This window comes from Homo sapiens, chromosome 8 (assembly GCF_000001405.40).
Source record: "Homo sapiens chromosome 8, GRCh38.p14 Primary Assembly".
Classification (NCBI taxonomy): domain Eukaryota; kingdom Metazoa; phylum Chordata; class Mammalia; order Primates; family Hominidae; genus Homo; species Homo sapiens.
In genome coordinates, this window is record NC_000008.11 from 28554584 (window position 1) to 28581049 (window position 26466).

The 26466-nt window shown below is 35.5% G+C and overlaps 1 protein-coding gene across 26 annotated transcripts in view, besides 2 other annotated features; it reads left to right on the forward strand.

Annotated features, from left to right (window-relative positions):
* FZD3 (frizzled class receptor 3) overlaps nucleotides 1–19675 on the forward strand; it is an 80047-nt gene extending 60372 nt beyond the window's left edge. For 24 of the 26 annotated variants that reach the window (NR_182067.1, NR_182069.1, NR_182066.1 and 21 more), the window contains 2 exons: nucleotides 1155–1388; nucleotides 8215–19675. Coding sequence is in view for 18 of the 26 variants with exons in the window: in NM_001412925.1 (NP_001399854.1) it covers nucleotides 1155–1388; nucleotides 8215–8428 (448 nt within the window). In the remaining 8 variants the exon portion in view is untranslated. The remainder of the gene's footprint in view (nucleotides 1–1154; nucleotides 1389–8214) is intronic. The other 2 variants (NR_182070.1, NR_182065.1) reach the window with 1 other exon arrangement.
* Nucleotides 3795–3977: a silencer, noted in NCBI's record as "fragment chr8:28415895-28416077 (GRCh37/hg19 assembly coordinates)". NCBI's record gives its function as "represses an EF-1alpha promoter that drives an FKBP-Casp9 reporter gene in an ReSE screen in HepG2 liver carcinoma cells and K562 erythroleukemia cells {active_cell/tissue: HepG2 | K562}" and the evidence as "EXISTENCE:reporter gene assay evidence [ECO:0000049][PMID:32094911]".
* Nucleotides 7152–7678: an enhancer, noted in NCBI's record as "NANOG hESC enhancer chr8:28419252-28419778 (GRCh37/hg19 assembly coordinates)". NCBI's record gives its function as "activates a minimal SCP1, AML or CMV promoter by ChIP-STARR-seq in naive and primed H9 embryonic stem cells {active_cell/tissue: H9 hESC(naive and primed)}" and the evidence as "EXISTENCE:reporter gene assay evidence [ECO:0000049][PMID:30033119]".

Consider the following 26466-nt stretch of genomic DNA (forward strand, 5'->3'; position numbering starts at 1 on the left):
TAGTTTCTTTGTCTATGAAATGGGGATTACAATATCTATTATTAATAGATATCCAATATTCCCTTAGAAATACACTCTTAGGACATGAATCTCTGTAATGATGACATTATTAAGAGGATTCAAAGGAGAATATATATAAAGTACTCAATAAATACTAGACTTCCTTCAGCCCATCTACCCCAACAAGAAAAACAACAGCAATAATGACAATCCTTTTGTAATATGAGAATTTATAATATATGTAATTTCTCAATATATGATCCAATCTTAACATGCTGGAGTTTTATTTTTGAAATGAAATTGATTATCTAATTTTAACTTTATGAGTTTTCATAGTAAGTCCTTTATTTACATAATCCAAGACACTAACCTTTACAACTGTTTAATTAGCTCTTGTATTAATTTAATTACTGCCTTGTTCATCATCGTAAACCATCTGTCTACTTAGTCCTTTGATAGCAGTTAAAATTTTTTGTTCTTAACCATAATTTTTCCCCTAAATGTTTCCCTTTAAGCTTCTAATATGTCTGAGACTTAATTGTAACTTTAATTTTTCATTTTGTTTTGTTCTAATTATGACTGCTCATGTTTATTCCAGCACTAGACAACTGCTTCTGCATAAAATTAACTCGTAGACTAAAACAACTGCTCTTACAACTTAAAAAAATATTGTATCCATGCTACAGTGAAGCCTCTACTAGTTTTATAAACCATGCAAGAAAACAATTTTTCTATTTTAGTTATATCTTCATAATATTTCAGTGTCTTGAGAATGATAGATTTCTTTGGCTGAAAGGGACCTTTTAGAAATGATGAAATTGTATACTTTCATTTTACAGATGAAGAAATGAAGGAAAGAAAGAGGAGATAATGACATGCTTAAGATCACATTTTTATTGATAAAGTTGGAACTAAAATCCTGATTTCCTTATTCTAACACAGGCCTTTTTCCATCATACCACCTTAGGGGACAGATTGACATAGATTGTTGTTCTATTCTTTCCTCTGTCAACAATGTTTCTTCATGTCAGTCCTATAGATCTAATTTGGCAAGCAATTAATTTCAAGAATAATATCAGTGTTTCAGAGAAGTATTGCTTATTGGTCTGAAGGAAGATTGGTATGTATCTTAAACTTACTATTTTGTTGTCTAGGATAGTGAATGAGAGCCGACAGGTACTCCAGGAACCTGATTTTGCTCAGTCTCTCCTGAGGGATCCAAATACTCCTATCATAAGAAAGTCAAGGGGAACTTCCACTCAAGGAACATCCACCCATGCTTCTTCAACTCAGCTGGCTATGGTGGATGATCAAAGAAGCAAAGCAGGAAGCATCCACAGCAAAGTGAGCAGCTACCACGGCAGCCTCCACAGATCACGTGATGGCAGGTGAGTTTTGTTAGTAGTGTAGTTTATTTCATAAGCTGAATTATGACCATACAGCTTAAGAAAGAGGAGCAGCCAATTCTGAAATAGAAGTCGAACATAATTAAGCCTTTGAACTTTGCTAGATAGAGTTGTCCCAGACTATGGTCAGACTTAAAGTCAGTCAGAATTGTTTAGATTTGATGGAGTAAGCAATATGGGAGTTATTGCAGGGGATTGAGCAGGGAAAAGACAGGGTAAAAGTGGTTATTTTAGTAAGATTAATTTAGTAAACAATTATGGAACACCTACTACATCTAGCACTCTTGCTAGGCCCTGAGAATACAAAGATGACTTAGGCATGATCTTTGCTCTTGGTAAGCTCACAGTCTATTTAGAAAGATAGTGTAGTCAGTTTGTGGTTTAGAACATGGATCTAGAATGATAAACCTCAGCTTCCTCATTTATAAAATGAAAATAGTATTAATATCTGCCTCTTTAATAATCTTGTACAAATTAAATGAGATAGCATACCTAATTCCTTGGAACAGTGCCTATCTCAGTGAGTACCTCATATCAGCTTCTGTTATTATTGTAATTGACAATTGAACTAACACATAAGTATGACAGTATAGTTCAGGAATTAGCAAACGTTTTCCGTGAAGAGCCAGATAGTAAATATTTTAGGCCTTATGAGCCATATGGTCTTCACTGCAACTATTTGAGTCTGCTGTTGTAGCATGAAAGCAGTCATAGACAATATGTAGTCAAATAGAAATAACTGCATTCCCATAAAACTTTATTTGCAAAAATAGGATTTGGCCAGCAGGCCTTAGTTTGCCAACCCCTGTTTACTAGGTACAGTAGTAGCACAGAGGAGGGAGTGATTAATTCTGGTGGCTAGGGAGGGGGTTGGTTTCACAGAGAAAATGTTTGAGAGAAGCCTGGCTGTGGGTTTCTTGTTAAATTTGAGAAATGAGACACTAGAATTAGAAACTGCCTTTGAGCTTTTCAGTAATTCTTTTGAGAGATGATAAAGGCTTCTAGGAGAATGGTGGCAGTGGGAAGAGAGGAAGAGCTGACCTGAAAGATATTTAGAAAGAAGAAATTATATAGCCGGGTGTTGTGGCAGGCACCTGTAATCCCAGCTACTCAGGAGGCTGAGGCAGGAGAATCACTTGAAGCCAGGAGGTGGAGGTTGGAGTGAGCTGACATCGTGCCACTGCACTCCAGCCTGGGCAACAAGAGCAAAACTCTGTCTCAAAAAAAAAAAAAAAAAGAAGAAGAAATGATAGAGATTGGTAAGAAATTAATATTAGCAGCTGGAGAAAAGGAATGTGCTAAATATTTTTTGGGGTGTTTTTTTTTAAGATTTCTTTTGGGAAACTGAAAGAATGAAAATTATAATACCTGAAACTGACAGGATTCTGTGTTCACTTGAAAACATCTGTTTCCACAGCTGTTTCTATCCTGTCAGTCTCAGTCTTCTCCCTGTCCTCCTAGTGTAGAATCCGATTCTCTGTACTTTTCTTTTTTAATCTTCTGTCTGTTTCCTCTCAACTTGTTTTCTTTTACCTTCTGTTGTTCAGCTACCCTGTGTTTAAAAGAGCAGCAGTCTTTCTTTGTGCTGATTTATCCTTTATCCATTTCCTTTTTCTTTCCTGGCTAGATTTTTGAAATGACTATTTTGAATATTTTTCTTCTCCCTAATCCATCCTTTATGCCTTGAAAGTGTAGTCTTTTTCTCCTCTCTACCTGCCTGAACTGTACCCTCTAACATCACCAGTGACTTCATTTTAACCACAAGGATCTTTCTCCTTCCTTCCTTCTTTTGTTCCACTTAGCACTCCTATATGAGAAGCATTCTTCTAAGTGCTAGGGATGCAGAGATGGAAGACAGAAGAGTAAACAATCAATTACAATACACTTCAATAGGTATAGTAAAAATATGTACAGGGTGCATTGGGATCTCAGAGAAGAAAACCATTTAATAAATCATAGAAAGTGAAAGCTTCGCAAAAGAGATGGCACTTCTACATTGAATAGGATTCAGAGGAGGCAGTTGGGAGTTAAGGTAACAGCACATGCAGAGGCAAGGAAGACAGGCAAGCAGTTAGGTACGTGGGTATGGCTAGAGCATAGACTGCATGTTTTGGCAACTGAAGGAGAGGAATTCATACTGAGGAGTTTGCATTTTTCCTGGGCAGCAGTGAGAAACTATCATAGGACTTCAGGCATTGGGGTGAGAAAATCAGATTTGTATTTTAGAAAAATCACTTGGCAATAGCATCGGAATGAAGGAGATTATGAGTAAGACTAGTTAGGAAGTTTCTACAGTAATTTAGGGGTCCCAGCTGAAAATACTGATAAGGAGGGAGGGAATCAGAGTTCTTTTAGAATATATTTATCAGTCATCACCCTCCATGAACCCAGCTTTATTTGACGTTATTGGCCTTATCCTTTCTTTATTTCTTTCTTTTATTTATTTATTTTTTTTTTTTGAGGCAGAGACTCACTTTGTTGCCCAGGCTGGAGTGCAGTGGTACTATCTCAGCTCACTGCAACCTCCGCCTCCCAGGTTCCAGCGATTCTCATGCCTCAGCCCCCTGAGTAGCTAGGATTACAGGCATGTGCCACCACGCTCAGCTAATTTTTTGTATTTTTATTAGAGACAGGGTTTTGACATGTTGGCCAAGCTGGTCTCGAACTCCTGGCGTCAAGTGATCTGCCCATCTCAGCCTCCCAAAGAGCTGGGACTGCGGGCATGAGCCACTGTGCCCGGCCTGGCCTTATCCTTTCAATGATGAATGAATAATTATTTATAGTATAATACCTATGCACGTGGCATACTGTGTATAAAGATGTATATGGAAGAAAAGTAAGATGTAATTTATGCATTCTAGGAGCATATAACCTTATAGGAAAGATAAGATGTATATGGAAGTAAGATGTAATTTATGCATTCTAGGAGCATATAACCTTATAGGAAAGATAAGACATACACATATGAACCAGTTAATAGCACAAGCCAGGAATATAATTAAGACAGTGAGTGTTAAAGATAACAGATGTAGAACTGCAGGAAAGAGAAAGGTCAGATTGGTTCGTGAAAGTATCTTAAAGGAGATACGTAGGGTGAATGAACAGTAAAAGATGAGTTTATATTAAGTAGAGGATTTCTGAGGGCAGTTAAAAATAGACTTCAGCCACTCTCATCTGAATAGAGCTGTAGCTTAGATAAGAAAGTTTACAATCATCAATATAAGGTAGTTGGCAATTAAAATTGTGAGCTAGAATCCCTTGAGTCACTATTAAGAAAAGAACAACAGGCCAAAAACAAGACCTTGGGAAATATTCACAGTAATAATAATACAGGAAGAAGAACAGTGGGCATATGAGTCAGAGAAATTGCTTATCATTCTTTTTGTTACTATCTATTTTCCACATAATTGTCTTTCCTCAGCTAAGTTTGCAGCTTCTAGAGAATAAGAACTAGGTGACACCGTATTCCTCCACAGTATCTAGCACAGTACTAGGCATATATATATATAGTAGGGGATTAACAAATCTATCAAATAAATAATGACTTTAGAAATAATGTGGATGTTTCCCAGAAATGCAAGAGCCAGAATGACAGTGGCACCCTACTGAAGGTGTTCTGTAATGTGGCACATGAATACTAATACTGTAGGACTCTTGGCTGTACCCAGAACTTTAGGGCAGATTTGAGAGATTCCAAGACTGTGGTGAACCAGAAGTCTGAACAAGGATTTTCATAATTTGAAAAGCCATCTCATGGAGATTTCCTTCTGCTTCAGTCAGTTTTTAACTTTGTGTGTCAACACTATGTTGTGGTCATTTTCTAATCATCTCATGGTATCTTGGCTGTGGGATCACACACATACCCACTTCCCAATACTCACTCTGGCCCAGATTCTTTGCTGGATAATTATTGATCTCTGTGCTATATAAAACAAAATAGGCTGAGGTGAATACACCTACACATATATGTCAGCTTCAAAGAATAAGTAATTGGTGGTTAGATGAGAGGGTGAGTGAAAAAGGAAGTGGATAAGTAGGTAGGTGGAGGTTTGGGAATGAATGATTAGGTTGGTAAGTGGGTGCCATGACAAGAAAAAGCTAGGGAGTAAATAAGGAGGTATTAGTAAAACTACAGTTAATTCAGTTATTTAGATTAGTGATAGCAAATAGTATGGACACTCAAAAAGAGTAAATCATCTTCAAGGTTTTTTTATGTTGACTTTGGAAGGCACTGTAGTATTTTTTGACAACGGCAGCAAATTAACCATCCTAATTGTTTTGCCTAAGCTTATATTAAAATTAATTTACATTTTCACACTGTGTATTACAGTCAGTGGTCACAGTGGTTTAAATGACTGTCAGAAAATAAACTTGGTAATTCCTACATATACAGTTGAGATTAAACAGTATATTTAAATTTATTTTTCTATGTAGTTGACTCTTAATTATCCATGGGCAGGTTGTTCATATTCTAAAATGTTTTGTGGATGGCCATATGTGTCACTTAAGGAATTTAGATTAAATTATTCAATATAGTAAATTTTTCTATGAAAAATATATTATTTGAGTTTTTGTAACTCAAAGCTTTATATTTCATTTTAGAAAATACTCAGCTTATATTTTTATATAGTGATTTTTAAAAGATAACTTTATATCATTACTAGAAAACCGCATCATATTTTGCTCTTTTCATTTGCCATATTTATTTGAGACAGATACTTGGGAAGCCATTGAGAGGTGAAAGATCTCCAAATCAGCAGCCAAGTCATATTTGGAAACTTGGAATAATCTTCTACTCAGTTTTAAGGCAATAATCATTATGCAAAATAATAATTATTAGTCTAGAATAACAAGCCCATTCTGAAATGTTTTCATCTGCAAACATTGTCATTATTTACCAAAACATGCAGAACAAATTTAAAACTGTTTAAGGTCCTAAATATGAAGTATCTTTTAATAAATAAGAATTAAATAACTTTTTACCCATTAACATGAGAAATGTTTAAAATATTTAAATATTTATCTTTTCACATTTAACTTTTCTTTTTTGCTTTCCTGAAACAAAATACATGTTTTTGTTTTTTGAGACAGAGTTTCGCTCTTGTCACCCAGGCTGGAGTGCAATGGCACGATCTCGGCTCACTGCAACCTCCGCCTCCGACATTCAAGCAATTCTCCTGCCTTAGCCTCCCGAGTAGCTGGGATTACAGGTGCCCGCAACCATGCCCAGCTAATTTTTGTATTTTTAGTAGAGACAGGGTTTTACCACATTCGCCAGGCTGGTCTTGAACTCCTGACCTCAAGTGATCTGCCCATCTCAGCCTCCCAAAGTGCTGGGATTACAGGCATGAGCCACTGCGCCCGGCCAAAAGACGTGTTTAAAAAAAAATTTTTTTCAAAGGACTTCTCAAGTTTTAAACTCTGATCTAATGAAAATGTGACTAGAAGATCACCTCTGTGGTGTATGAATCTATCTTTAAATTTTATAAATAATTCACACTGAGTCATGAAATTTGTTACAATTATTTTTGTGAAGGAATGGTGGATTAACGCTTTCTGACAGCCAACAGATCTGCAGCTGCTTATGATTAGTTTTTTTGATGACTGTTTAAAAAAAAAAAACCTAGCCTGCTATATTTTATTTTTAGAAACATTACTTAAAACTTAATTAAAGTTATAAATTATACTAAGTTTTCTTTGAGGTTTATTATCCTAAATCAAATACTTTTACAGAATGGCATATATATAGGTGTTAAGTATAAACAAAAAGTATTTTAGAGAAATACTTCTTGAGGCACTAGGGATTAAAAGATAAAATATGGTCCTTACCTTGAAAGAGCACGCTATAAAGCCAGAATCGTTGATAAGTAGCATGCTAGCTCCATAAGCAAAGGCCTAATATAAAAGTCATAATTGATTTTCCTGACCTTGACTGGCCTAGAGCTAATCTCATTCCTCATGGCAAAGCTCAGTGAGTCAGGACTGCAACAAAAGAAAATTTAACAGCCCCACTGCTGCTTTTCAAGATAAGTGCAGAGGAGATAGCCTGCAGTTAGCAGAGGAGCCCAGCTCACATACTCCAAGCTGGGTCTAGAGCTGAAGGTACAAAGAATTTGCTTTAGCCAGAATATAGGTTACAGAGTGTTAGGATGTAACTTCCAAGCAGATGTAGCTTCCATGAAGGAGCATCTTCACAGCCTCAAGCCCTGATGAGAAGTAATTAAGATAATTTACAGGTAGTTAATTCAGTTGTTAACTGGGCTATCTGGAAAGCAGCTTTCGGCACATACTGTCATCATTGCTTGCCAGTTTATTCATTTTTTTTTTTAGGTTACTCCAATTTCTCCTCTGATTTCATATTCTCCCTCTTCCAGTCAGAGTCTTAATAAAATTTGAATGTACCCCTCTACTGATTATAACCACTCTTCTTGGCTGCCAGGGGCAATGCCACATTTCTTCTATTTGTTGTTACCCCTCTCCCTGAACCCACCCATTCAAAACTCCTTTGAATGAGAAAGGTATCCATATCGAGTGCAGCTTCAAATCGGTCAGCCTTATTTAATCTTAGCTTCTGTCCTTTTGCAGAGAATGGAACCTTAATTCTGATTGGATTATCTCTTCTCTTTTGTTGGCCATGTCAATAATTCTACAGTGTTAACGAAGTTAAGCAATCAAAAGTTGGTTATTACTTTCTCATGGTTGGTTTCCTAATAATTTCCCTTACTGAGGCATTTTTATGAAAATTATTAGTGTTATTATATTTTCTAGTGTGTTCTGTTACCCACTTCAAAATAAACTCTCATGACAGGTACACGCCCTGCAGTTACAGAGGAATGGAGGAGAGACTACCTCATGGCAGCATGTCACGACTAACAGATCACTCCAGGCATAGTAGTTCTCATCGGCTCAATGAACAGTCACGACATAGCAGCATCAGAGATCTCAGTAATAATCCCATGACTCATATCACACATGGCACCAGCATGAATCGGGTTATTGAAGAAGATGGAACCAGTGCTTAATTTGTCTTGTCTAAGGTGGAAATCTTGTGCTGTTTAAAAAGCAGATTTTATTCTTTGCCTTTTGCATGACTGATAGCTGTAACTCACAGTTAACATGCTTTCAGTCAAGTACAGATTGTGTCCACTGGAAAGGTAAATGATTGCTTTTTTATATTGCATCAAACTTGGAACATCAAGGCATCCAAAACACTAAGAATTCTATCATCACAAAAATAATTCGTCTTTCTAGGTTATGAAGAGATAATTATTTGTCTGGTAAGCATTTTTATAAACCCACTCATTTTATATTTAGAAAAATCCTAAATGTGTGGTGACTGCTTTGTAGTGAACTTTCATATACTATAAACTAGTTGTGAGATAACATTCTGGTAGCTCAGTTAATAAAACAATTTCAGAATTAAAGAAATTTTCTATGCAAGGTTTACTTCTCAGATGAACAGTAGGACTTTGTAGTTTTATTTCCACTAAGTGAAAAAAGAACTGTGTTTTTAAACTGTAGGAGAATTTAATAAATCAGCAAGGGTATTTTAGCTAATAGAATAAAAGTGCAACAGAAGAATTTGATTAGTCTATGAAAGGTTCTCTTAAAATTCTATCGAAATAATCTTCATGCAGAGATATTCAGGGTTTGGATTAGCAGTGGAATAAAGAGATGGGCATTGTTTCCCCTATAATTGTGCTGTTTTTATAACTTTTGTAAATATTACTTTTTCTGGCTGTGTTTTTATAACTTATCCATATGCATGATGGAAAAATTTTAATTTGTAGCCATCTTTTCCCATGTAATAGTATTGATTCATAGAGAACTTAATGTTCAAAATTTGCTTTGTGGAGGCATGTAATAAGATAAACATCATACATTATAAGGTAACCACAATTACAAAATGGCAAAACATTTTCTCTGTATTCATTGTTGTATTTTTCTACAGTGAGATGTGATCTTGCCAAAGCCACCAGACCTTGGCTTCCAGGCCCTCCTGTAGTGAGTTGATTGTCTGCACTTGCCTTGCCCAATAGCCAGTAGGCTACAGCTTTTGCCCCACACCCTTATTTTCAGATTCTGGATCATTCTTGTTTACAACTGAAATATATATAACCTCAGTCCAAAGTGGTGATTGATTTGAGTATTTGAAAATTGTTGTAGCTAAATGAAGCATGATTAGTCTTAGTATGAATATCATTTAATCTTTAAAAAATCAAGTAAAAATGTTTATCTGATAATGTTTAAATAATTTACAATATAAACTGTAAAACTTATTAGGCATGAAATCAATCAGAAGAGAAAGAAAAATGCTGGAACATGCTTGATGTATTATGTAAAAAGCATATTTAAACAAGGGTCCTCAACCCTGACTGCAGATAAGAATCACTTGGGTTACTTCAGATGCCTAACACCTTCCTCTCATACAAATAAGAATTGGTAGCTTTCTTAAAAAAAAAAAAAAAAAAAAAAAGCGCTCCAGGTGATTCTAATCTGCAGCCTGGCTTGAAACTCACTACTTTAACTTGCCCCTGATGATCTGTCGGCATCATATATCACATGAACATCCACATGGATTCTGTCTTTCGCTTTTATATCATTATCTAATATTCAGTTGTTCTGCACCTGATGCCAAATTCTGGGCTGTACTCCTAGAGAGACTTACTCAGTAAGGCCAAAGTGATAGGACTTTAAAATCTGTAGTTATAAAAATACCGCAGGTGATTCTTACGGAGGTAATCCAAGAATCATACTTTGAAGAATTATTCTAGACTCTGAAGAGGCCTGGCTCTGCCTTATGCTATTATAGTTTATGACCTTTAACAATTTAACTCTCCGAGCCTCAGTTCCCTTGTTTGTAAATGAAGATAGAAGATAAATACGTACTCTACCTACCTCACAAAGCTGTCAGATTAAGATCAAGTGAAAAAAATTATGTGAAAGCTCTTTGAAAACTGTAAAGCATTATGAATGATAAGGGATTAGGTTATTGTGGATTTAAGAGGTGTGAGGACTGCTATAGTACATTCCTTGACGTGTGTTGAATTCATGTATACTTTCTTTCTTACCCTTTAAAACAAACTGCCAAGAAATTAGGTGTTGAAAAAGAATATTCTCATCAGGCAGCAAAGTCAGTTTTCTGATAGTAATAATTTGTCTATTATGTTATATATTTCAAAGTACATGTATGATAATATGACTTATTCTTCATGAGAGATATTTGAATATTTGGCCCAAAATGTTTTTCATTTTTCTCTGTGTTCATTGCCTTTCTCCTTGGAGCTGGAGTTAATGCTCAAAGCAGGCAGGTCTGAATTCCCTCATAACCGACAATTAGTAAACATTTTCTCTGAAAGCCAAACATATAACAACTTATTTATCAATAATTCATGAAGCTTTTGTCTGAGAATCTCTCCTGCAAACAGCATGAGAGAACTAAAACAAACATTCACAAACAAAAATAAGTTAAAATAGAAGGTACCAGTTTGGGCTCGAAGATGTTGTCATCCATTGCCATCTGCATTATATTATCAACTGCCAAAATGTTAATTGGTTTTCTTTTACAAGTGGGCCAAGTATAGACAGTTAAGTGAACATCACTATGAAAATCTTAACTTTGTGCTTCTAGATTTTTAGATAATCATTTGTATTTTCTCTATTAAATTGTGGGTATGTATGGGAATACTATATTGACTTTTCAGTTACTTTCAGTAAGTATCTTAATTTTGTCCCACAAAATTTATGTAATATTAATCCATGGTTTTAAACAACAGTATTCAGTTTGGGCAGCAGTTTTAAGTCTAACTAGCTTAAACCAATCTGAATAAGTCTGGACAGTTTTCCTACCATATGTTTAACTTTGATTGGCATATGATAATGTTTAGTGTTTTCTTTTTTCAGTTGACAACTGAGAAAATAATAGTTCTCTCTAACATGTTAATATATTATCAAAAGGTTTTCAAAAAGTACTTTGATTTCAGCAACTTTTTTTATTCAATAACTAGACAAAAGATCTAAGATAATATTAAACTCAAAACAGTTTGTTTCAAAGAACAATTGGTTAATAACTCAGCTGGCACAGGGATTCATACACAGTTTTTCAATAAATATTTAAATGAACAATTCATGTCACACAACTTGCTTTTACCCTAGTACTGAGTCTCACATCAAAGAAATTTGAAAGATCTATAACCTATGTGAAATGAAGTCTCTGCTTTACCAGAATAATATGTGGCAGGTAATAAATATGTAAAGTACACCAAATGAAACATATTTTGCATAGATAACAGTCCATATCACTATTATAATTAAAGAAATATATGTACAGACATGTACCAATCCTTTTAATTAATTTTAGAAGATGAACAGTGATTCTTAGAAGTGAGTAATTAGACTCCTTTTAGTCTTATGCTGTTAGATCTTTGTGGACCAGCTGAGTAAATGAATCTTCAAATCAACCTTTCTTTTTCTGCTGCTCTTAGAGCAGATTTATAAAAATCCTAAGAATGTCTTCAAATTAGAAAAATTTACTACATTTTAACCTACCTCATCAGTTTCTTTGTGATAATAGCTGAAAATAACTCAAACTGTACCCATCTTAGTTAGGCTATATCTCTGTGAAATGAAAGGAACCACTTAATTTTTTTTATATAAATTAGTGAATCATTTGCTGGAGCTTAGAAAATATTAACATACCAAAATTTCATTATGATGATATTTATATTGCTTTTTGACATGCCAAAGGTACATTTACATATTACCATATTTGGATGACTTACATAGTCTGGTGTAATGAAAATTCCCCTGGGATTGGAATTTTAAGACTCATGATGTCAACTGGGCTGGTCATTTTATTTCTCTGAGTCTTTGTTTCTTCAATGTAAAATGTGGATAAGGTAATTTTTGGTTTTAGCCTCCCTCACTGGATATTGTAAGGATCAAATGAAATAGTATTTATTATAATGCTCTGTAACCCATAAATTATTCTACTTAAAAAAATTTTTTATAGAGACAGGGTCTTGCTCTGTCACACAGGCTGGAGAGCAGTGGCATAATCATAGTTCATTATAACCTTGAACTCCTAGGCTCAAGCAGTCCTCCAGCTTCAGCCTCCCAAGTAGCTAAGACTGTAGGCATGCACCACTACACCTGGCTAATTTTAATTTTTTTTTCTTTTTTTGAGACGGAGTCTGGCTTTGTTGCCCAGGCTGGAGTGCAGTGGCACAATCTCAGCTCACTGCAACCTCCACCTCCCAGGTTCAAGTGATTCTTCTGTCTCAGCCTCCCGAGTAACTGGGACTACAGGTGCGTGCCACCACATCCAGCTAGTTTTTGTATTTTTAGTGGAGATGGAGTTTTGCCATGTTGGTCTCAAACTCCTGACCTCAAGTGATCTGCCCACCTCAGCCTCCCAAAGTGCTAGGATTACAGGCATGAGTCACTGCACCTGGCTTAATTTTAATTTTTTTAATTTTTTGTAGAGATGAGTCTCACTATGTTGACCAGGCTGGTCTTGAACTCCTGGCCTCCTAAAGCACTGGGATTACAAGCATGAGCCACCATGCCTGATCCATAAATTGTTCTACTGATACCATTTGGTTTTGTTAGAATTTGGGGGGGCTATAGAAAACAAGGTTACAGTCTTCATTAGTATTTCTTTTTAGCAATAACAACAAAATAGGCAATTAGACCAGTGTTCATTTGGTACAGTCTTTAAATCGGTCATCCAATTAACCTTTAAAAAGTAGGTTATGCTCTTAAATTGTATTGGTTCTTTAATATGTGTTATACCAGAGTATGCCTCAAATTTTATGTAGTTGAATTTGTAGAACAAATTTGGGGATATTCATTTTATTTTTCCTTTTATATGAAATTGTATAAGTACATTAGCTTGACTTAAATTATAAAAAAAAATATATATGAAGAAGAATGTAGACCCTATAATGTTTTTTGTCTTTGACTTTTTGGCTTTTATGTACCTCATTTTTTCTGATTGAGAAAAAGTTTTGAAAAAGTGATTCACTTGTTGGTTTTCATTGTGGCAAAACTTTAAATTTTAAGTCATCACACTATGAGAATTGTTTGTACACATTTATAATTTTTTTAAAGTATGTAAAGTAAGGATTTTTTCTCCATTCTTCACTCACAAAGGATAGCATTTTTATGGAACCTAGATTTACAAAGGAACTTGTGATTCTTTTCAATGCTTTTGTGTCGTTTTACAGCTGATTAAGAAAAAATGTTTACATTTAATTCAGCTGTATTTCCTAGTAGCTGTATAATCTTACACATTATTCTTATATAATTTTGACCTATTTTATATGAAAATAATTGTATTGGCATCTCTTCATAATTTAATTCTCTTCTCTCCTTCTTTTGTTCCGATTAGATGAATTTGGGAAAGGAGTAGGAAGACTAGGTATCGCATGCCTTCCGTCTGATTGTAATCAGTCTCCTGGGTTTTTTACTAATTTAATCTTAATCCTGTGCTTCTTTAGTCATCAAATTGATATAGGATTACAATTTTCTCTCAGGATCCAAGTCTTCTAAGAATGAAAATGTTGAAGTCTACCCAGAACCAGCCATCCTTGTAGACATTTCTATTTGGTTGATTTATAAAGATTTAATATATAAAGATTTAATATGAGTTAAACATGTTTCTTATTCTGTGATCTCTAATTAGAAAGTAAAATTCTGTTGCCATAAATATAAAAGAAAGTTTTCACTTATATTTTAGTCAAACACCAAACCACTGCATTACTTACTTCCTATAAGACACAGTAGTTCAATCTGTTGAAAGGCATTGAAGGATAATTTCCTTCAGATTACTTTTTAAATCATCATCTGCCTCAGGAAATTCTTTCTTGAATTTTTTTGTTGGTGTGAAAGCGTTGCTTATACTTTATGCTCATTTTATTGGTCACTGTCACCAGTTTTTCCCGATAAAGATTAAAAATGTTTTTTACCTTGAAATAATTCAGATTTTGAAGATTCACTGTTTCATTATTTTGCTAATTACCATTAACTAGTAAAGTTAGTTTTTAAAGTTTTTTTAAGGTTGATATTTTATCATATTCCTGGAGTAGGATGGATTACTTTATTATTATTGTAGCTTTAAGGTTTTTTGTTGTATAAGTCAGCTTGTTTGTATATGCTAAATTGCAGATATTTCTTTGTGTTGTGCTTATTGGTTTTTTTTTTTAACTTAGAGCTTAATAATTTCTATTTTCTATCCTGGAGTCTAAAATTAAACAAAAAAATCTATTTTCTAAATTGGCAGGATTTTTTTAATGATTAGTAAAACTGTATTATTTTATTTTTAAAAATACAATAGGATTTTGAGTCAGGAAACTTGACTTCTACTCTTGCCTCTCTTTTGCAGTTAGCTGTGTAACTTTGGATAAGGCATTTTATCTCGTGGTGCCTCCATTTTTCTCATTCTCTAGGGAACAAGAGAATTAGTTTAGGTAGCGTCTAAAATTCCGCCCAGCTCTCATTTGGTTCTCATTTGACCATTTTATAATCATTATTTTGGTCTCATTTTTATTCTTCTTATTCATCCCATGAACTAGATCAACTTGTATTATTTTACTAGATCAACCTGTATTATTAACGTCATTTACATGTAAATTGATGGGATTCAGATATTTTATCAACTGTTTTTCCATTAGTGATTTTAAGTAATTTTAAAGAAGGAAAATTATATTACAGATAATAAAAATGAAAGAAAGTTATAAATATTGGACATGGCTTTTTTAAATGGGAAAGTCTTCTTAAGCACCAATATAAGCACCTTAAATTGATACATAGAAAAGAATGACATAACGTTTTGTGGTCTTTGTTCTCTTAAATATGAATATAGCTAGTTAGCCTAAAATTTACACAAAATGTATTCAAGATCAAATTAGTGAACAAAGCAATGGTTCGTATGGCTAATTTAAAAGCAATTCAATTTACCAATATTAAAATAATTATAAAATGTAAAAGAAATTTCAGAGGAGTTGATTGAAAATTTTTTGTTCAGTAATTATTCTTAAACTGCATTCTTAGGTTTATTACATAAATATAGTTGCCAGATTGCCATGGGCAAGTGAATGTCTTCATTTGAAATATTATTAGAGATCAATGTGGCTTGTTATTTTTAATTTTTTTCTGGCTATACAGAAAATGTTTCTGGAAAAATTCCTTAATTGTCATCTGATATAATGTAGAGATTGAGGCCAGACGCAGTGGCTCACGCCTGTAATCCCAGCACTTTGGGAGGCCAAGGTGGGCAGATCACCTGAGGTCAGGAGTTCGAGACCAGCCTGATGAACATGGCAAATCCCCTTCTGTACTAAAAATACAAAAATTAGCCAGGCGCAGTGGCTCACGCCTGTAATCCCAACACTTTGGGAGGCCGAGGCGGGCGGATCACGAGGTCAGGAGATCAAGACCGTCCTGGCTAACATGGTGAGACCCTGTCTCTACTAAAAACAAAAAAATTAGTTGGGCATGGTGGCGGGCACCTGTAGTCCCAGCCACTCGGGAGGCTGAGGCAGGAGAATGGCGTGAACCCGGGAGGCGGAGCTTGCAGTGAGCTGAGATCGCACCGCTGCACTCCAGCCTGGGCAACGGAGCGAGACTCTATCTCAAAAAAAAAAAAAGAAAAAAAAAAAAGTAGAGATTGCATTAGTTCCATATCTCCGCAGAGTTCTCTGGTAGATTAAATGTTCTCTGTGCACTAGGCCAAGGAAGTTCCTGTTACCTTTGAAAATCATTGTGTTTGCTCTGATTGTCTACATTAGCTCATATCAGTCTTTTGAACACTGGTTCAAATCTGGGTGTTGGGTTAGGATCTGATGAGTAGAGAATAGTGGAAAGTTGATATAGGAAGGTATACTGGTTTCTGGTGTGATTCTTTAGCTACATTTATTCCTTGTCTTATGTCATTTCACTGGATCATGTAACTGTCCTGGCTTTCAGAAATTATATTAGATGCCCAGCCTTTCTCATTCAGAGATGCCTGTATTATTATGTTATTTCGATTGCCTACCAAAAAAAAAAAAAAAAGAAAAGGTTTGTTTTTAGTTCTCTGCCTCTGCAAGTCTTTGTGATCACATTTGTTAAATTGAATCTGAGATTCAAATATTTCATTTAATATTTTCTGGGTTTTGATAATGGGATATTCTGTAAGATAAAGCAAGTAATCCTAGAGTGATTTACTTTATGTTTAGCCATCCACCATTTTCCTATTTCTCTACTCCTCCCATTCTCCATTTTTAAAAGGAAATTAACAAATGTCTTCCTTTATCCCTGCCTCAGATAATTTTTCCCTGAACTCATCTTGTCAGCAGAAACATTTAATGTGAAATAATTCTGTATTTCTGAGACAAGATCAACACAGTAGTTCTTTACATTGAGCTGAGGTGAATGTATACTTAAAAATACTCTATTTTCTTTTTATATGAACTTAAAATTTTTAAAATCATATATGGGACTCCCCAATGTGAAAATATTAGTCTGGACATTCTCTTGCCATCAGGTGCTATTTCTACCTTAGCTGTGAGTTAGACTAAATCCAAATTTCGTATCATTCATCTTTTTATAATATTTAACTTCCCTAGAATCACCCCATTTCATGTCTTTAACCCCAACTTCCAACAACTTTTCTGCTTTTATTTTCAAATGTCAAATTGTATTTTTGTGTTTTATTTTCTCATTGAAGTGTAAAAGTATCACATATATGAAGGAATGGCTGGTTTAGACATTTACTTTGGCATAGTAAAGATTGATATTGATACCACCCACCATCCTTTCCTCTAGCCCCAGAAAGAAAAGTTTGACAACTCAAAAACGATTAAATTATCTTATCTTGTTATTTAATAGAACAATGGAAGCTGTTTCGTCAAAATTAAAATACTTTACCAAAAAAATACTTTTTTGTATTTTAATCTGATAGTGAATTTGGGGATTATTTATGTAAATGTATCATAATTAATAGTAATTATGAGTTATTTCACTCTCTGTAATTTGTGATACCCAAGATTCATATTTATTTAATGTGAGGTGTTTTTTGAGGCTTTTTTGTTTTATCTTGTTTTCTTAACTTTTTACAGTGTTGTTAGATTATCGCGGTCATCTCGGCATGTGGATCGCTCCTCCTGTAGATCAGCTGTTCTCTCTTAGAGTCAGGACAAGGAGGTTTTTGCTACATGGTCGTAGTTGGATAATACAGCATTATTCTGAACTATCTGAAATTGCTGGTTTTATTGGTCAAAAATGATCAGATGCTAGCAATTTCATAATAGATATATTCAAGAAGGAACCAAACTTTAAAAGATCTTTTAGAATAGGTATGTTAACTTCTCATCCTAACCCTATCAATATATCAGAGGCTTTATGAAGGAGACTCTACAGATAACCACAAATCTTATCAAGAAAATTCTCCTTAAAAAAAGTTATCCTTTATTTTGTTGTTAAATTTCCCAGTTTTTAAAAGTGTTTTATCAAAATGACTTCATAATTGAAGCAAATACCTTTTGGAAGTATATATGTTACATAAGACTTTCACTAAATCTGTGCGTAAAGCTTTTATAATCTGAGATATTGTTATGTATTAGGTTTGTGCAAACCTAATATAAAAGGGTTCATCTGTAAGTATCATTTAGAGGCAAAATAATTTCCCCCTCACATCTAATGTGGACTCAAATTTTGGCAACTGGAATGTTATCCTCTTGGTAGGCATTCTAAATTAATGAATACTGCTATGTGGTGTAGTAAACAAATTTGCCATAAAATGCCATTTAAGGATTTTCTTTTTACCTTTATTTCATTATAAAAGTATATGAGTTGAAGATCATATAAAAAATATGAAACTCCTACACAGGAAATCCCCAATTTTGTGATTTAATAGGTTGTAAAAAGAGTTGTTCCAAATTCAGACTACATCTCATCATATAAATAATATTATGAATAATAAGGGTAAAAGATTAGCCAACAAAAGCTAATCTAGTACACCCCATAGAGGTACTCCAGGTGTCTTGGTTTTGGATAAATTTTTATAGTGGAGAAAGGTTACTTTGATCTCTCAATAATTGCTTGGTACACTTCTTCCTAGGCAATATGCTCATGATACCCTCTTCATGTGACCTATTCCTCAAATGCTGCATTCTCCAAAACTTCCTTACCTGCCTTCTATCCCCTAGTCATTCTTATCAATACTTCCAAAATATAACCTATCTCAAGTGTTAGAAATTTGCTTTAACTAATTTATATTAAAGTGTTAGTGACTATAGCCCTTTTATCTCTCTTAAAGAGAAATCTGCATTAAAAGCAAACACATTGCTGTTAGCTCAAATTAATGTCAGTGAGTAGAATCTTAAGCTTTAAAACAAAAGTGGAAATAATTTAAATTAGTGTTGATGGGACTATTTTGAGGCAAGAGATACCATTAAGTGACCTAGCTTGGAAATCTGCCCCCTTTGCCCAAACCCATGTGATGTCTGAAACTACTGTATATTTTCAATGACCTTGAGAAAGGGAGCTAGTCATTTGTATTTATGGGCCTTATGAAGTCAGGGCCTGCTGATCCTGTTTTTTAAGTTCAAGCGCAATGCCTGAAGCATCCTAGATCTCCTTCACCCTCATTCTACCTGACAGACAGCTAGGTCTGTCTTCCAGCTCTTTCTCATTGATACTACCTTTACATATGAATACTATCCATGCTTGTTAAAAAAAAAAAAAGTCTTTCCCCATTTTACTGTTACAATTTTTCAAGAGCTATAAAGGTAGAAAAAGTATTCCTTTTCATTATTCTAAAAAATATGTCATTTTTAAATAGCTGGCACTTAGCAGTTTAGTTTTCCAAACTTTATTCTGAATCAAATTGCTGAGGTGATTCTAAATGTCTAATGTTGATTTATCATATAAACATCTAATTAGAAAGTGTTTATGCTAAAGACTTGTATTTTGTGGCATTAGTTCTTCATGTTTCTTTTTTATATGTTTATTAAAATTGTTCACTTCCAAATGAGTGGAAAAGTTGCTGTTGTTGGGATGTACAGGGCAAGTGCACTTGGTTAGAGCATGAACTGGGAATTTCACATTCTCTGATGTGCTTTGCACTCTGCTCTTGTAGATTTATTTTGTTTACAGTAGACTGATGTCAGTTTTTGTAAATGTTTTTTCTTAGCACTTTAACTGTGAGTGTACAAACTGATTTTAAATGTAGTGGTTGTATATTTTGGTTATAAATTGGAGATTTTTAATAAAATTAAATAATTCTCTTTTCTGTCATTAGTACCTGATTAATTATAATTTTCTTTGTCATCTTCCAGACCCTTTAAACAGTCTATTTAACACTACTGCACTGCATTTTTAAATGTTTTCATATTGTAAGTTTTTCATATAATAATGTAGGAATCATAGGAGTCTGCCACATAGAAATAAACACACACCATCCTATATTATATCCCTTTTTTCTCATACTTGTTTTGTCAATGCAGATAAAACCCATCTCTGTTCATTGTTATATCTTCAGCACATTACGCTATTAGACACATATTAGAGGCTCAATAAATATCTGTTAAATACATTAAAGTATTGTATTTATATCAATTTCCCAATAAGAAATCCTACCCATATAAGCAAATAAACTATCAGGTGATTTATTTTCATGCACAGGAAGGCAGAAGAGGATTTAAACTATTAGTAGTATATATTAGCATATGTCTTGCCTGGATCACACAGTCTTTTGTTGGGAGACCTTAGAAATCCTAAGTCCAGCTTAACCTGGTGCAGACCTTCTTCAAAACACCATCCTTTATAACCCTCTGCTTGAATGATTTCAGTAGCAGGAAGCTCACTATGTAAAGCCTTCCATTTCATTTTTATTTTATATTTTTGTTTTTTTTTTGTTTGGCCTTCCATTTCATTTTGAGACAACTCTAATTGTTATAAAAGACTTTCTATTTATTGAGTGGAAATTGTACCTTCACTCATTGATGCTATTCTACAGATATACAATAATTCTATCACAGAAGTAGACATTTGAAAAAAAGGCATCCTGTTTCCTCCAAATCTCTGCAGGCAAAATATGTCCTATTCTGCAATTCCTATTCTTCAGTTCTCCTATGGCATCCTGTCAGACCCTAGTTCTCCGAAATACTCCAGTTGTGAATATTCCTCTTAAAGTCTTCCAGACAACTGAACACTCATCTCCAGATGCTGTAAAATCAGTGAAGATTGCATTGTACATTATATTCTGTACACTACTGTTAATTCTAAGTTTATGCAGAAAAACAGGAGCCCTTTTTTACAATCATCTCCCTCTAACCATTGAAGGGTCTAGCCATTTATGTGATGAAGATATGTATATATACATATTTATTAATTGTCCAAACTGTAATATTTGTCAACTAAAGTCAAATATTTCCCTGAGGCACTGATTATCTACTATGTGCCAGGCAGTGAACAAAATAAAGTCCCTAATCTCCTGACAATTTAAGATATACCAAAGACTTAATTAAGATGGAAAAATATCCTAAATGATTGTTGCTAAATTTAAGGTTCGCCTCTGAGGGAAGGGAGGAGGGTATTTTTGAGTGTTTTATGTTGATTATTGGCTAACTTGGTGGGCAAATGCCGGTCATTCGCCAGTTGAGGATTAATCAATGTGTGTGCCAGAGCACAGAGGTACATATATGCACAGTTTCTTCATCTGCAAAATGGAAGTATTGGGCTAAGCCAATGGTTTTTAGCTATGGGATCTTTCATCAAATAAAATAGTATATGTAGTCTCAGTACATAAAATAGATAAAAGCACCCTTTTGTTTAAAAGGAATGTAAGGTCCCTGAATTCCACTTACTTGGCCCAGCCCTTCTTAGCCCCCCTCCATTACAGCATCCCTTGAAGCACCTAGACAGAACTCTTTGAGCTCAAAGAGCCCACTTTTAAAATTACTAAACTGTTCTGTATCTTGACTGGTGGCGGTCACACAAATCTGCATGTGATAAAATTGCACAGAATTGTATATACACACACCCAAATGAGTGCATATAAACCAATGAAATCTGATTAATATAGATTATACCAATTTCCTGGTTTTGATATCATAGTAACCATTGGGGAAAACTGGGTATGGGTATTCTTTAAATGCATGTAAATCTACAATTTAAAAGTGTAGCAACATTTTTTGGTAAATTAAAATGATCTCTAGGTCCCTTCTAAAATTCTCTGATTAATGCCCCATTCATTTTCTAGCTGCCTTTCCTTTCTGTTAATTTTAAAGGAACAATTAGCATTTGTTTTGAAGAGACTCTTGGTAAAAGTATCTTACCCGGGAATTTTTCGATTCTTACTTGGCCCTCCTAATTGGGTGTTCTCAGTGAAAACGAGACACTGCTAATATGCTTTAGAAAATAGCCCTCACATTCTCCCTGTTCCCAATCCCCCACTTACTCTAAGCTCCCCAGGAGCAATAATTCAGAAGTCAAATTGCTCAGCACTCCTACTACGAGTGTGGCAGAAGAATGGCCTCTTAAAGATGTCCACTCCCTGATCCCCAGAACCTGAGAATACCTTACCTTATATGGCAAAAGGGACTTTGCAGATGTGATTAAGGTTGCTGATCTTAAAATGGGGAGATTATCCTGTATTACCCATGGAGGCCCTATCTAATCACATCATTCCTTAAAAGAAGAGAACTTTTCCCAGCTGTGGTCGGAGAGAGATGTGGCAATGGAAGAAGGCTAAGAAAGATTCAGCATTGGAAGGACTTAACCCAAGGTCACTGGCTTTAAAGATGGAGGAAAGAGGCCATGAGCTAAGGAATGCAGGCAGCCTTTCAAAGCTGGGAATGGCTTTCAGCTGACAGCCAACAAGAAAATATGGCTCTCAGTCCTGCAACTGCAAGGAACTAAACTCTGCCAACAACCAGAATGAGCAAAGGTATTAATCCTTCCTGAATGTCTCCAGAAAGGAACCGCAGACATGAGTTTAAGGCAGTGAGGCCCACGTCAAGACTTCTGAGCTACAGAACTGGAAGATAATAAATTCATGTCGCTTAAACCCCTAAATTTGGGTAATTTCTTACGGCAGCAATAGAAAACTAATATACTAAGCCTCACACCTCCACATCCGCAAAGTGTAGCCAGTAAACAAATGAGTAATGGAAAATGGCACAAGGAGGCCATTAAGAGTCAGAAACATTTCAGAGAGCTGGCCAGTCGCCATGAAACAGACTGTTGAGGTGGGTGGAGGCAGGTTGGAGAAATTGAGATTAATAAGAGCAATCAGTCCCTGCTGCCTTTCTTCTGATTTCATCTCTTTTATTATTCTTTTTTTATCATTATTTTTTCAGTCTTCATTTATTTCCATATGGCCTTCATTTTTCTCTTTAATCTAATCAAGCATGGTGGGGTTTTTTTTTTTTCAACCTCACACTTCCACCAGCAAATGCACCCATTTGTCAGAAGGAGATGAGGAGCAACTTAGGCTTTGGGAAAATGAGATTTTCACATGTACCAACTATTAAAAAGTCAGGGTACACAGCTTTAGTATCCAGTCTCTGGGTTCTCCTGAGACCGTGAACATACACAAAAGAGAGTTATACACAAATCCACTTATTTAAACAAACAAAAGCTATAACACCAGGCACTCAAAAATATTTTGAAAATAACAAAAGCTCTCTACTAAAGTACTGATGAGTCACTGTCTTCTATTCTGCAGCCGAAGAATTATGTTGAGCTCTTTTTACTATCTCTTGGACAGCTCAAGACTAAAAGCCCTTTGGGGCTAATGGAATGTCCTCATCAGCCTCAAATAATATTAGACAAGCTACTGTACAATAATAAAAACAGCAGAAGAATTTAAACACTCCATATGAAGTGAATCATTTTTTGACACCAGACTTGTTGGAAAAGTGTTTGCTAAATATGGGAAATATATTCATACACTATGTATGCAAGCTTCTGATTTCTCACATGTCCAAGTGACCAGAAAGGCAGAAGGAGGGAAGTTGTTCTCTGACAGCAGATTGGGTACAGTTGAGCCAGATTAGGGGAACTGTTGGTAACAGCCCCCTAGGGCACAGGTAATGCATGGGCCTCCACTCATCAATTTGGTGGATTCCAAATTAACCCTTATTATAGTGACAGAGATTCCCGTGCATTCTCAGCGTGATGGTAAGCATTTCTGAAAATTCCAAAAATGTGTGGGCCAGATATTGGCTTATTTCTGGAGCCACTGCTGCAGCACTAAAATTAGCAAATCCAGAGCTTCTCAGGTGAGAACAAGCTAAATCCTTTAATCGAAAAATCCTTGACATCCTATTTTGGGGGAGAAAATATTGAAAAATCCTTCCTTTCTTCTCCTTGTCCTGTTCATTGATAAAGGCTCTTTACATGACATATTTAACTGTAAGCCTGTTTTAGCTGTCATAATTTTAGTTTTTTTCAGAGCCAAGGGTCATTTGTATATTGTTCCTCGTCTGTTGATGAAAATTGCTTTAAAAATGATGTTTCAAGTATCTGTAACCATTCAATAGCATTCATTCATTCATTTATTCAGTAAATACTCATTTGTTTACCTACCTCTTCTGTAAGACCCTAGGCATGTAAAGGAGAAAATGACGTGGTTTCTACTCTTGCAAAGCTCACACTCTTGTGAGGAGATGAGCTCCTAAACACCTGAGTACTTCAATACTGCTGTGCTCAAAGCATCATGGAGGCACACATGTGGAAGAAGTTACTTCTGCCATGAGGACTGAGGGTACAGAGGGGTTTATAGAATATGGAAAAGTCAATCAATATTTATTGACCACCTATTGATTGTTGAGATTACATCAGGAAACAAAATGCACTTGTTCTGTTGAAGTCCTGTAATCAGAATTTTGAATCTAAAGGGAGAACATAGACAATAAACATTAATTTCAGATGGTGATAAATATTGTAACACTGTCTGATAAAAGACCCCTAAAGGTCTTCAAAAACAATGTGGATATTGTTTAAAGTACTAAACAGTGGTTTTAGTTAAGGGATTAACATGACATAATTTTATTTTTTAAAAAAATTATTCTGGCAGCTCCATAGAAAATGGGTTATGAGGACCAAGAGTGCACACAGGAGCCTGGGCAATATGGTGGAACCCAACTCTACAAAAGAAATACAAAACTTAGCAGGGCGTCATGGTGTGCACCTATGGCCCCACCAGCTATTTTGAGAGGCTGAGGTGGGAGGATCGTTTGAGCCCGGGAGGCAGAGGTCGCAGTGAGCCAAGACTGCACCACTGCACTCCACACTGGGTGACAGATCAAGATCCTGTATTTAAAAAAAAAAAAAAGCACACAAGGAGACCAATTCAAAAAGCAACTATGCTAGTACACGTTAGAGATAATAGTACGACTGGGACTCAGATGAAAGTTGTAGAGATGAAAAAAAAGGGAAGTATTTTGAAAGTAGAGCTAGACTTACTGATGTACTGGATGTGACAGATGAAGGAAAGGGTATGAATAATAGATGACTTCGTGTTTTGACTAGAGCAGCCTCATGGATTATGGTGTCACTTACTGAAATGAAGACTGGGGGAAGAGCAGATGCTGGAGAGAGAAAAATCATGTGTTCTATTCTGGACTGGTTAGATGTTAGGTGACTGCTAGCCATCCAAGTGGAAATCCCAAGTAAGCAGGTAGGCATATGAGTCTGGATCTCTGGTTGAGATTTTGACCTGAGATAGAAACTTGAGAATCATCAAGATTTAGGTGGTATTTAAAGCCATCAGGCTACATGAGATTACCTTGGAGAAGACTTTGTAGTGAAGAGAATTTGTGTAAAGGACAAAAGGTCAGGAAAGCAGAGAAGGAGAGACCTGTGAGATAGGGAGACAGTCAGGGGGATGTGTTATCAGGGAAGCCAGGAGAGAAAGGTGATTTGTAAAGGAGAGAGTAGTTCAACCCATCAAATGATCCTTAAAGATCAAATAAGGCAGCGGGCACAGTGGCTCTTGCCTGTAATCCCAGCACTTTGGGAGGCTGAGGCTGGTGGATCACCTGAGGTCAGGGGTTCAAGACCAGCCTGGCCAATATGGTGAAACCCTGTCTCTACTAAAAATACAGAGAATTGGCTCCACGTGGTGGTGGGTGCCTGTAATCCCAGCTACTCGGGAGGCTGAGGCAGGAGAATCGCTTGAACCCGGGAGATGGAGGTTGTAGTGAGCTGAGATCGTGCCATTGCACTCCAGCCTGGGCAACGAGTGAAACTCCATTTCAAAAAAAAGATCAAATAAAGCCAGACACTGTGACTCACACCTGTAATTCCAGCACTTTGGGAGGCCGAGGTGGGAGGATTGCTTGAAGCCAGGAGTTTGAGACTAGCTAGGCAACAAAGTGAGACCCTTGTCTCTACAAAAAAGAAATATATATACACATATATATATTTTGTTACATATATAATATATATAAAAATATATATATATATATTAGCCAGGTGTGGTTAGCTCATAGTCTGAGCTACTCAGAAGGCTGAGGTAGGAGGATCACTTAAAGCCCAGGAGTTTGAGGCTGCAGTGAGCTATGATGCTACCACTGTACAAGACCCTGTCTTTAAAAGAAAAAAAAAATCAAATAAGATGATGACTCAGACAATTTGATTTGACATCATGGAGGTTATTGAAAAGAACAACTTCAGTGGATGGGAGTAAAGGCAATTGCAAATGGATTGAGCAGTAACTGGGGAATTTGTATTTCCAGCACTTGGAAGATTAGATACTTTCAGTGACCTTCCCAATGAAAACAGCCCAAATTCTGGACTATGTATGAAAATCTTTGTAATTTGCATTGCTAAGCTGCCCTGATCTTACCAATAAAAGTCAAAAACAAAGTGAAAGCAAAAATCATTGGTAATAAGCACCAGCACCAGCTTCTGCTGTGAGAGTTTCTGCTGAACGCCAAAGACAGCACAGCATATGGGGGGCGAGAGATTGAGCCTAAGCTCCAGCCAATTACAGAATGTAATAGGAGGCTTCCAAAGGGATATACTTTCACTGTGAAGGTGAGGGAGGAAAAAAGAAGAAATCCTGAAG